At 47.8% G+C, this 12,808-nt stretch overlaps 1 long non-coding RNA gene across 4 annotated transcripts in view, besides 1 other annotated feature; it reads left to right on the forward strand.

The window, feature by feature from the left end:
* The window catches only part of TMEM220-AS1 (TMEM220 antisense RNA 1), an 85,388-nt gene that overhangs the window by 11,456 nt on the left and 61,124 nt on the right, over positions 1 to 12,808 (forward strand). The window lies entirely within an intron of this gene.
* Positions 7,426 to 7,975: an enhancer, noted in NCBI's record as "H3K4me1 hESC enhancer chr17:10651975-10652524 (GRCh37/hg19 assembly coordinates)". NCBI's record gives its function as "activates a minimal SCP1, AML or CMV promoter by ChIP-STARR-seq in naive H9 embryonic stem cells {active_cell/tissue: H9 hESC(naive)}" and the evidence as "EXISTENCE:reporter gene assay evidence [ECO:0000049][PMID:30033119]".

The raw sequence follows: 12,808 nt of genomic DNA on the forward strand, positions 1-12,808 counted from the left end.
AATCAGTAAACAATCCAAAGATGCATGCTAGAAAATTATTCACCGTTTTTTATTAAAGGGGATGATTGGCAGGGAGAATGTGGAGAAGAGGCCCAGGAGTGGGGTTGGGAGATGCCTAATTCTTGGCAGGATCTGGAAGAAGAGGCAGCTGGTGGGATCTTCTTCAGGGTAGAGAGGTTACAGAATACGAGACTGAGCCTTTGAGGGCAGCCACCTCCTCCCTGAGGCCTCTGGGGTGGCAGTTAGTTCTCAAAGCTTGTTTCATTTATGGTCCAGCACCATAAGTGCTGTTGCTGACATTATTGGCTTGGCAGTGAAATCAAGCCTGCGCCCTTGGGGGCGGTGCGGGGGTCTTGCCCGGATGGTCGATGTGATGGTGTCAATGGCAGAAGGAGGCTGGAGACGTGGGCACTCTAATCTGATCCCCAACATTCACTGGTTATGTGGCCCTGGGTGCATCACTGAACCTCCTCTGGCCTCTGTTGCCTTATCTGTAAAATGAAGACAATAATATTTAGCTTGCAGGGCTGGTATCAGAATTACATATTCTGACATTATCAAGGTCAGCTGTGTGTTGCCAAGTCTGAGGTCAAGCCTCAGTCCCCTGTTGCTCCCTTTATCAGTGGCTTGTGACACAGTTGATCAGGCCCTCTGCCTTGAAACACTTGGTGCTCTCTGCCAGGGGACATCACTCTCTCTTAGGTCTCTCTTAACCTCCCGGGCTACTCTTCCTCAGCCTCCTTTGGTGAATCCTTCTCTGGTGAATCCTCCTCTTCGCCCAAATCACAAGTTGGGCTAACCCCGGGGCCCAGTCCTCAGCCCTCTTTTGGGCTCTCCTTACACCCTGCCCCATTTCCTATGCAGTTTCTGTTCAAACAGGTCCAAAGCCAAATCTTGGATACCCTGCCCACAACCAGCTCCTTTCTTTGTAAGTCTTCTTCTCTTTCTAAATGGCACCATCAGTTCTCCCGGTTGCTCCAGCCACAATCTTGGAAGCATCTTTGACCTATTTTTCTCCTCCATGCTTAATTCAACAACAAATCTCATTGCTTCCACTTTGGAAACATATCTGCAATTGGGCGACTCCTGTCCACCCTCATGGTTAGGAGCCTAACCCAAACCCTAACACCTCGTACCTGGACTGTGGCATCTGCTATCTGCTGCCTAACCAGTCTCTCAGCTTCCACTCTTGTCTCCCTAAACCCTGTTTTCCTCACAGTAACTAGAATTGTCCTTAATGCATAGAATCATGACTCTCCTTCATCTCAAAGCTCTCCAACAGCTTCAGAATAAAATCCATGTCCCCAGGATGCTCCCAGGGCCTGTGACCCCTCTGGACTCATGCCCTCCTTCTGCTCATTCTGCTCCATCACTGCTCACTTCCCAGCTACCCCTCCAACACACCAATGCGCCCCCACCTCACGGCCTCTCCCTGCGCCGTGCCCTCCACTGGATTGCCCTTCCCTTGATATCTAGAAGGCTGAATCTCCCACCGCTTTTAGATTCCTGCTCAAATTGCACCTCATCTTTTTTTTTTCTTTATAAATTACTCTGTCTTGGGTATGTCTTTATTAGCAGCTTGAAAACGGACTAATACACCTGTCCAGGCTACCTTCACAGTGGGTTCACTTATGAAACCCATCGTCTTACATCCATAATAATGGTTTACTCTATTTAGTGTAAATGAGGAAGCTATGTGATAATAGCTGGAATCTTCTGTCTAAGAGGAAGAAAAGAAACCAAAGTAACCATAGCTTATACAGAAGAAATGACAGCACTTAAGAGATGAAGTCCGGAACAAAGTCTGGGTATTAAGCCATAGAACATCCTTATAGGAACTTGGACCTGTCACCTGCAGCAATTTGGTCACAACTCTGCATATGTAATGAGCATGTAAATAAATTCTCCTTTACTCCTGGAGAAGATGTTACTGATCTGCTACCAGCTGAACACATGTTTGTAGTAGGGATGACAGGTTCACCGGATCTATCTCTCCCTAATCTGGTTTCCTTTGTGACCGGTCGCTTGTCTTTCTTTGCAAGGCAGCTGGCCAGGGTTGTAGAAATTGCACCTCATCTTAGAGTCTCTCTCGACTCCTCTATCTGAAATTGCATGCTATTTCAATCTCCTCGTTCTGCTTTTTTTTTTTTTTTTTTTTTTGCTTTCCTTGTTGCTTGGCATGGTGTATTTACTTGCTCATTAAAAAGATTATGTGTCTTCCTACTTGAACGTGAGCCACGTGACAAAAGGGACTTCACATATATTCCTTATTGCTGTATCCGCAACACCTAGGACAGAGCCTGGCGCCCAGTGGTTTGCCAATAAAGGTTTGTAGGATGGACGAGTGAGTAAAAAAAAAATGGCTCGCTTAGTGCCTAGCCTAGAAAATGCACCCACAAAATGATTATTGTATCATAATAATGGTCCTTTATGGAGAAAATGGGCCAAATTAGAGGGGAAGAACTTGATTCTGATCTTAAAGTTAGATCCTGAATGGAAAAATACTTAATCCCTTGGGCAGTTTCATCATTAGTATGAATCAGAGGTTCCTTTTCTGGCATGGAAGATAGATTGTCATTTGATCCAGAAATTACTGCCCAGAACTTTCCTGGCCAATAGTTCTGTTCTCCTGCCTAAATTCCTTCTTCATCTGACTCCAGATTCCCTGTTTCTGCCTAGGGTGCATTCATTCCTCCCTCCCTCCCTCCCTCCCTCCTTCTCTTCCTTCCTTCCTTCCTTCCTCCTTCTTTCTCTTTTTCTTTCTTTTTTTCTCTTTCTTTCTTTCTTTCTTTCTTTCTTTCTTTCTTTCTTTCTTTCTTTCCTTCTTTCTTTCTTTCTTTCTTTCTTTCTTTCTTTCTGTCTTTCTCTCTCTCTCTCTCTTTCTTTTTTGGAATCGGGGTCACACTCTGTCATTCAGGTTTGAGTGTAGTGCTTCTGTCATAACTCACTGCAGCCTCAACCTCCTGGGCTCAAGTGATCCTCCTGCCTCAGCCTCCCAAGCAGCTGGGACTACAGGCACACACCGCCATACCCAGCTAATTTTTAAATTTTTTGTAGAGATGAGGTTTTGCTATGGGGCCTGCGTGCATTTCTTTGAAATGACCCTGAGCATGCTACCACCCAGTGATTCCACCCCTAAGGCATAAAGCTTTCCAGTGGCTGCAATGCAAGACCCTGTCTTAAAAAAAAAAAAAAAAAAAAAAAAAGACAGCGCTGTTACACATTTCAACAGAGCCGTTTAAAAGACATTTATCAGAATTCTGCTGAGCAGGCTTTGAAATTAGTTCTGCTCAGATATTGGAACTTCTTATCTCCGCAGACAAATAGATACAGCCCCGTGTACTGTGGGCAGGAAGTGGGCCTTTGATCTCTGTGGGGAGACCTGCTTTATATATAGCACTTTAAAAAATCGAATTATGTTCTGTGTAAGTTTATTTTGAGGACGTCATACTCTATGGAAACAAGTAGGATTCCTTTATCAGAAAGGAGATTGTAGGTTCTACAATCACAGAACAAATATACGGTGCCTGCTCTGCTGATCATACAGTGACTGTTTGATGAAGTTCAAATACTTGATGGAAAGGAGCAAAACAGAGGAGGATATTGATACACACACACACACACACACACACACACGCACACATAGGCATAGATTGTGGGGAGAGGGAAAGAGAGAAAGGGAGAGAGACAGGGAGGAGGGGAGAGAGGGAAAGGGGGAGAAGGCGAGGAAAAGGGTGGGAGGGAGAGGGAGAGAGACAAAATAACTCTTCAAATTTGAGAGAGATGGAAAGGATTCCAGCTGATGACAGCTACGGGCTTTACTGTATTTTACTTCTGCACCTAGTTGGTGAGCTAGGAGCTAGGGGCAGAGTAAGAGTTATTATTTCCTTCCTTTTATTTTTCTCTTTTTAGCTTCTAGCCTATCTGGGCAGAAAATAATCTGTCACCAGCCTGGCCCAACCAACAAGCAGAGCCCTGAGATGGGCAGGGAGCATTTGGTCCCCTGTGAGTTGTAGGAGGTTACCCTGAAATCTGAGAGGTGACATGGCTTACCAGGATCCCAGAGCGAGTGGAGTGGGGACCCCCCCTGGAATCTTACAGTTCAGACTCTCAACCCCCCTGCTTCTGTCCACACATACACAGGAGATTTTCAAACAACGCTCCTTGAGAGGGAGGAGGGAGGTGCCGAGGCAGCTGTGACTCTCACGCCCATCTTTAATCAGAGCGGCTCCACTCAGACTTAAAAAAAAATGTTAGTTCATGTCTTTTACTGACTCATACACAATTACTTGTCTTCTGGTTTGTTGAAGCAATCAGTCAGACAACAATTTGCCACAGTAATTTCGCTCCAAGTGGCTGGCCATAAACACTCCAGTGCCACAATCATCTGAAGGGCATTTCCAAAGAAGGCAAGTAATTTGGCCATTCTCATCCATTTTCTAGTATTTCAAGTCAGCCAGTTAACCTTCTTTCTCTCCTGCTTTTCTTCTTGGGAGTGGTGTAAGATTTCTTCATTTTGTTAGCACCACCATGAAGTCTTACCACAGGATGAAGAGTAGACTTTTTTTGAAAGTTGTAGTCAGCTGGGCGCGGTGGCTCACGCCTGTAATCCCAGCACTTTGGGAGGCCAAGGCGGGTGGATCACGAGGTCAGGAGTTCGAGACCAGCCTGGCCAAGATGGTGGAACCCAGTCTCTACTACAAATAAAAGAAAATCAGCCGGGCGCGGTGGCTCATGCCTGTAATCCCAGCACTTTGGGAGGCCGAGGTGGGGGATTGCTTGAGCTCAGGAATTCAAGATGAGCCTGGGCAACATGATGAAACCCTGTCTCTACTAAAAATACAAAAATCAGCCAGGCATGGTGGTGTGTGCCTGTAATCCCAGCTACTTGGGAGGCTGAGGTGGGAGCATCACTTGAGCCTAGAAGGTGGAGGTTTCAGTGAGCCAAGATTGTGCCACTGCATTCCAACCTGGGAACCTGGGTGACACAGCAAGACTCTCTCTGAAGAAAGGAAGGAAGGGAGGGAGGGAGGGAGGGGAAAGAGAGAAAGAAAAGAAAGAAGAAAGAAAGAAAGGAAGAAAGAAAGAAAGAAAGAGTCAAAGTACATCCATCTTTTTCTTCCAGTTGCTTTCCAGCAAAGATCCGCCTTTGCTGATCAAGAGGAATTCCTTTCTTATTCTGGGTCTTGGCCTTTACATTTTCTGTCATATCCAAGGGTTCGACCTTGAGGATGACGGTCTTCCCCGTAAAGATTTTTATTAAAAAATCTGTATTTTGGTGGCGGTTCCACTGCAGATGGCAGATTGAAAAGCCAGAATATTTTCTGCATTCAGGATCTTGTAGTAGGTTGACAGAAAAAAAAGAGGTTTGAAAATACAACAAAGGGAAGGTACATTAGAAAGGGTAGTCCACACTAAAAGACTGGGAAAACCTAGTAACTAAGAACACAGATTCTAGAACTGGACTCCGTGGATTCAAATCCCAGCTATGCCTCATATGATTTGCATTTCTTTATCTGTAAAATGGATAGATGGAAGCAGCTGTACCTCCTAGGGTTGAGAGTGTTACATGAGTGGATGTACGTGACACACTTAGAAAATGCACTCAGCAACTGCCTTCTTAGCTTTTAACTCGGGGGTGGGAAACCCAGGTTAGATTAAGCAGCTGTTGCGAATTGCTAATCAGGGGAGAAGTCAAAATTCCCTTCAATAACTAGTTCTGTCACTCCATTCTTTAATATTGATGCTTGGTCAAATTAATAAAGACATTTTATTTGGTTAGCCCCTTTGGTTGGAATGAAGAAAAAATTACTCTGGATAGCTCAAGAAACAAATTAAATAGGATAGGGAACATAGTGATTATTATAAGCATAATGATGGGCAAAAAGAGGAGACAAAAATCTCAGAACAGGATGAGAATGGGTTCTTGAATGCGGGACCCCATGCGATGTGGCTTCTGCAGGTGGAACAGCCACGTCCCCTTTGGTCTTCAGAAGCAGGAGCTGGTGGCTTCTTGCTGGAACAGCCCATCGTCCACTCATTCTCATGCCCCGTTTTGGGACAGTGGGGTGACCACTTTGTTTTAATTGCTTATGTAATTGTCTGCCTTTCCCTATGAGGTGCAGTCTTAGCGTGGGCAGCACCCAGCCAGGCTCACTACTGCTTGTTGGCAGAGCACCTAGCACATGACAGTCACTCCACAAATGGTAGCTGGCTAGATGGTGTATCAGGTAGGATATGGGGAGGCTTCCTCGCTCCCTCTGCTGCTGCTTCTCTTCTGTGCCCTTCTGCCCATCTCCTGCCCGCAGCCTCTCTGCCTCTTCCGCCGCACTCCCATACTGCTAGTCATGGTCAGATTCCCAAGAGAGAGAACATTGCAATGATCTAGCTCCTCTTGCTGCTCTCCTCAGTCACTGATTCATTCTTCCATCCACCTGCCTACGTGTCCACCCATCTCTTCGTATTTTGTTGCTACTGAGTATCTGTTTTCCTTTCCCTTCTCCAGTTCCTCCCATGGGGCTTTGGTGGGATGGACCCCACCCCAGATCTAGCCATTGCACTGGCCACTGGAATGGCTTCAGAGAAAGTCGTGCACCCCAATTTAGGCTAATGAGAGAATAGCTGGTTCTTATCTGGACCATGTGGTGTAAGAACAAGATCTTGTCTGCCTGGGTGTTCTGGGCCAACCCAAGGAGCCACACAAGATAGGATGGAGTGGGAGACAGGTACAGAGAGAGAGGGAAAGGTTGATTAGATACTGGATGACATGGTTTGAGTTACTGGATCAAGTCTCATTTGAAGCTAGAACTATTCCTGAACATCCAAGATTTTTTAGCTATTACATTCCTTTAGCCAGTTTTAATTGGGTTGCTTGCAACCCAAAGGATGCTACCTGACAGGCCATCTAGCCAGCTATCATTTGTGGGGTGACTGCCATGTGCTAGGTACTCTGCCAACAAGCAGTAGTGAGCCTGGCTGGGTGCTGCCCACGCTGAGGCTACGTCTCATAGGAAAAGGCAGATAATTACGTAAGCAATTAAAACAAAGTGGTCACTCCATTGTCCCAAAGCAGAGAGTGGATGATTGGATTGGCTCCATTGTTTTAAAGCCAGTCTTTACATATGTTTATGTGTGCCTATGCACAGGAAAACATTAGAGATGTGATCTGTTGGCTTATTTTACACTTTGCTTTATTTTTGCAGTGAACCTTAATTACTCTAAAATCAAGGGGGGAAATGCTATTAGAATCAAAATGATAAGTATGGTAAGCATTGTGCTGGGAGAGGTACTGGATGCTGTTAGGAGCACTTAGCAGGGACTGGCTTTAGGCAGCTGCATAACTGCAGGGAGCAGTAGAGAAGGTTCAGTGAGGCTCACTTGTGCATAGAGACCTTCCTGCCTCTGCCTGTATAGGCCCACCCTTAGCGAGGCCCTGGGGGTATCGGCTGGTCGGAGAAGCCAGGCACAGGAGCCTGGAGTCCCTGGCCTCTTCTCCAGACTGTCTGGGGCGTTGGCTCCCTGATCTGGCCGGGAGCATTTCCCCAGCTCATTCCTCTGCCTTACGGTGGAGAGCTGGTTACTGGAAGCACAAAGCCCTTTCCTTTCAGGGCTCCAGAAGCTGAACATTAAGAAACCATTGCAAATACAGTAATTGCTCAGAATGAGCATTAATGTCCTATTAAATAGAGGTGGCTGCTGTGGCTGGAATATCTAATTCAGCAGCCATTTCCTGAGAACCATGTTAATGTGATTTGAGCTAATTACCTCCTCTCTGCCTAAGCTCAGTCCAGAAATTACTGAGGCCTCTGCCCTTCAGTCTTTGGAGAAGCACAAGAATCCCTCACTCCCTTTCTCGGCAGGGGAGTTCCGGAGGTTCAGGCAGCAAGCAATCATCAATCAATCAGCGATTGGCCACTCTGTGCTTGACATTGGACTAGGTGCTGAGGAGGTGGGGACACTCATTAAATCTCATTCTGTGCCTTTGAGGCATTTGACATTTGTCTAAGAAGTCAGGACAACCGTGGCTAAGAAATGAAAGAATTGGAGAACATACAGGACAGCATGGACTCTTCATTAGTTCAGTCATTCTTGGTGGTAGAGGGCACACTGGTGGATAACACAGCTCTGGTCCCACAGTCATGGGAGCTTATGTTCTAATGAGACAGACATTGACTAAGCAATTGTGCAGTAGTTGACTAACCACAACAGTAATATGCGTGATGGATTATTACAGGATGTCATGAGAGAATAAAATGAGGAGTGGGGTGGAAACTGACCTAGCCTTTGGGGAAGGGGGTCTGAAAAAGCCTCCAAGGGAGTAGGAGACCCGAGAGTGAGCAGGAATGAGCAGAGCACAGGAGCGAAGGGGATCTCTTCACCTCCGCACTGTTTGCGGAGTATGGGGGCTGGGCACAGAGAGGAAAGGGCAGGGTGGTGCCCGGTAAAGCAGTACTGTCTCTCTGTCTTGCTGCCTGCAGCAGCATGTCGTGGTGCCCAGTGCCAGGACCTTGGAGTTGGGAGACCTGGGTTCCAGTGGCACCCTAGCTTTGTGTCCCCAGAGGAGTTACTCATGTGTTATTGAGAACACACGGTACACACCTGGGTTTCACCTCCTCAGGGGAAAACACTGGAGATTACTAACTTCCAGTGCGAAAATCCCATGATTATGTAAATTCTAGGTTCTGAGTCCTGCAGCAATGAGATGGAACCATCCTGCAAGGGTCTGTAGGGGTTGGAAGGGGAAAGAGTGTAGGGGGCCAAGTCAGACTATGGGGTCTGAGGGTATAAAGGGTGGTTCCATTCTGTGACCAGGAGCGAGTTCTCTTCCTTTCTGGGCCCTGCAGCTGCACTGTCGCAAGCCCTACAATTGGGCTTCTCTTGCGCAGCCCTCACTCCTGCAGCTGAGTTCTAGTCCAGCTAGAATTCCAGTCATGGAGACTACTTGAGTTCTTTTCCTGGGGCCTCTTGATCCCCTTGTAAATCAGAGACTGAGGACAGAGACTTGATGGCAAAGGGAAGGGGGTGAGCAGAGGATCTGGACACAATTCCACCTCTGGCCTTATTAGTAAGGTGACTGGTAGATGCTGTGAAATGCACCCAGACCCCTCTTCAGGAATGAAGGACTTACTTGCCCAGCTTCTGGGAGTGCTGCCAGAGGTGGCTTTCAGCCGTCCGCCCTGGATCACCTCACCTGAAAAAAATAGCCCTTCCCAAAGTCATGCCTCTTTCCAGGGGCAGCCTGTGATCAGGGACTGATCCAAGCCAGGGTATAAAGGCCTGGTTCCCTCTACACAACTTGAGATAACTCCAAAGGGTCAGCTCAGCTCCAAAATTCCTCTCAGGGTTGACTGAAATCTTCATTAAGACGGCATCGCAGCTCCATGTTTCCCATCTCTTCCTGGCAGTCCTGCACGCAGAGCTTTGTCTCAGGTTCTGCTTCTCTGGGAACCCAACCTGCAACCGTGCTCTTCGACAAGCCCCTTCAGCGTTTTGTGCCTCAGTTTCCTCATTTGTAAAATCGGGATAATAATGACCACACTTCAGGCTGTTGAAAGGATTTAAAAAACAAATTCCTGGTGGTGGGATCATTTATAAGGGTATTTGCGTTTCGTCATGACTTGGATAATCTTACCAGCATTGAGTGGCAATCAAAAATGTTTCCAGATGTGGCCAAATGACCCTGGGGAGGAGGGGGAGTCAGAATCACCCCTGGTGGAGAATTAGTGGTTTTAAAAAGGGAGAGGGGGGTGGGCATGGTGGCTCACTTCTGCAGTCCTAACACTTTGTGAGGCAGAGGCAGGAGGATCACTTGAGGCCAGGAGTTCAAGACCACCAGCCTGGGCAACACAGTGAGACCCCATCTCTACAAAAAATTAAAAAATTAGCTGGACGTGGTGGCTCATGCCTATAGTCCCAGCTACTAGGGAGGCCGAGGTGGGAGGACTGCTTGAACCCAGGAGGTTAAGGCTACAGTGAATCATGATCATCATGCCACTGCACTGTGGCCTGGGCAACAGAGCAAGACTCTGTCTCTTAAAAAAATATTTAAAGAAGAAAAGGGAGCGGGAAAAATCATTTATCCATTTCCCTTGGTGATTACACATCAAGGCACAAACACCACTCAACACTTCCCAGCCTCCCTGAGGCTGCGGCCTGGCCATCACTTTCTTCATTAGACAGGACTGAGCACCCACTGCTCTCTCTCCCTGGAGGGGAGGGACTGGCAGCCATTGTTTCTTTCTAGGAGAACCTGGGCTTCTAATTTCATCCCGTGCGTAAACTGTATTGGGCACTGGACAAAGCTCTCAGTTAGTACAAGGGATGGTCCAGGTGAGGGCTCATTTGATCCCATCACAAATCCCCGCAGGGTCCTCTCAGCAGCAGGGAGCAGGACTGGGCCTCTGACCCCCGGTGACTGTAGGTCCTCCTTTCCTGGATGCTCAGTGAGGTGGTTCCCTGGCAACAGCACAGCATCCTAGCAGCCCCAGGGCACATGAACCACAGACAGAGGGCAGATGAGACAAAAGAGTCTTCCGTGCTCACTGTGGGCATTGTGTCAGTGTTTACCCTGGGAAGCTCCTGGATGTGCTGTTGACCCTTCTCTCTGGAGAACTTTAGCCTGGCCCCTGCCCACCCCACTGGAGCCATTACTCAGAGCTCTGTGCTACAAAGGCCCAGAGAAAGGACCCTGGGGAGGAGGCTACATGGAGGCTACATTCATTCATTCATTCACTGATTCATTCAATAGGTATACTTTGTATCTCTACTGTGTCTATCTATTGAGCCCATCTCTGGGAATATTAAGTTGGTTGAGATATGGGTTGAATATGCTGTGCAACAGTGGGGAATTTAAAACACAGTCCTTGACCTCCAGTAGTTTTTGTTTTGTTTTGTTTTGAGACAGAGTCTCACTCAGTTGCCCAGGCTGGAGTGCAGTGGTACAATCTCGGCTCACTGCAACCTCCACCTCCCAGGTTCAAGCGATTCTCCTGCCTCAGCCTCCAGAGTAGCTGGGATTACGGTCGCCCGCCACCAAGCCCAGCTAATTTTTGTATTTTTATAGAGATGGCGTTTCACCATGTTGGCCAGGCTGGTCTTGAACTCCTGACCTCAGGTGATCCGCCCACGTCAGCCTCCCAAAGTGTTGGGATTACAGGCGTGAGCCACTGCGCCTGGCCTCCAGTAGTTTTTTATTGGGTTGGGAGAGCCATCCACTCCCAGGAAAGCTAAGGACTAATATGAATTTTCTGTAAAGCAGAAGCACGCAGGAGAAATTTCCAGGCACCTGTGATGGAGGAGGATGAAGCAAGGGAGGAGCAGCCTTTATTGTGTGCTCAGGTGTGGGAGACCCTTAGCACCTGTACAGCTTGGGAAGAAGAATGTGGAGCTCTGAGAAGTGAAGAACATGCCCCAAATATATTGCCTGTGCTGAAGACAAAGAGGGTTTGATGACACGAGGATTTGCCCCCCTTTTCTGTTAGGACCACCTGGCTGCCTCCAAACACTCTCTGACTTGCCTCCTAGTTGCTCGCCTCACGTTTTCTCCTCCTCCGCTTTTCTAGAAAATATGCTCTCTTAAGAACCAAGTCTGAAGCGAAGGCTGTACTTGAACTTCGGGCTGGCTGGACCACTCAGACCGATTGAGGTGCTCTATCTCCCTAACACCTGCACTCTAAGAACCACATAAAGGACTCGCTGGTTTGCGGCTGGGTGGGGTTGGGTGGGGCTGGGTGAGGGCGTGTGAGTCAGCTTGGATAAAGAAAATCATCCAGGAGGGATGTGTTTTGGGACACTGACTACTGACCTCTTTTCTGACCCTCTTTGTTCCAGGCAACTGTGCAGATCCCGGCACTTTGGCTGTTTCCAGGAGTCTGTGCTTTTTTCCCCAAGGGGCTGGCCAGGAAGGGCTGCCTGGGAGACAGTGGCTGCTCACTGTTGCCATTTTTCTCTCCCATGATCTCAAAGCCACCCATTAAGGGAACCATCAGCTACTTGGGCAATTTCCTTCTGTGTAGAGAGCGAATGACATTTGCACTATTTGCTCATCTAACGCACCCGACATGTCCTCCTTTCTGGTTAATTTGGGTCCCAACTAGGGAGTCCTGTACTGACATCATTCAGGCAGTTGGGGGCTCTGGCCACTGTATATCTGGCAGCACAGGTCCCCCACTCTCTTGGATAACTGCCCAGCCCAGTTATCCATTGAGGGGATGCTTCAAATGGCTGGGAAAGTTCACAGAAAAAGGTGTGAGCCGTGGTGAAGCTTGTCTTTATTAACCAGTGAGCAAAAAACATTTTAATTAAATTGCAAAGATACACATCTTTGGTTCCCTCTTGAAATCTAGCAGAAAGTATGCCAGGGAAGAAAATTTGCACAGGGAGAATATTCAAATCAGAAGTATTTTCCAGTTTAAAATATCAGCAGGGGCAGGCAAGGGCTGGGGAGAAGAACAGGAGTGGTTATCTTGGAGTCCCCTGTGAAGTCCCTCACGAAGAAAAGACTTATACAAGAATTCTTGGCTGGGCACGGTGGCTCACGCCTGTAATCTCAGCACTTTGGGAGGCCAGGGCGGGCGGATCATGAGGTCAGGAGATCGAGACCATCCTGGCTAACATGGTGAAACCCCGTCTCTACTAAACAAAATACAAAAAATTAGCTGGGCGTGATGGCGGGCGCCTGTAGTCCCAGCTACTTGGGAGGCTGAGGCAGGAGAATGGCATGAACCCAGGAGGCGGAGCTTGCAGTGTCCGAGATCAGGCCACTGCACTCCAGCCTGGGTGATAGAGTGAGACTCCGTCTCAAAGAAAG

The sequence above is a fragment of the Homo sapiens genome, chromosome 17, assembly GCF_000001405.40.
Source record: "Homo sapiens chromosome 17, GRCh38.p14 Primary Assembly".
NCBI lineage: Eukaryota > Metazoa > Chordata > Mammalia > Primates > Hominidae > Homo > Homo sapiens.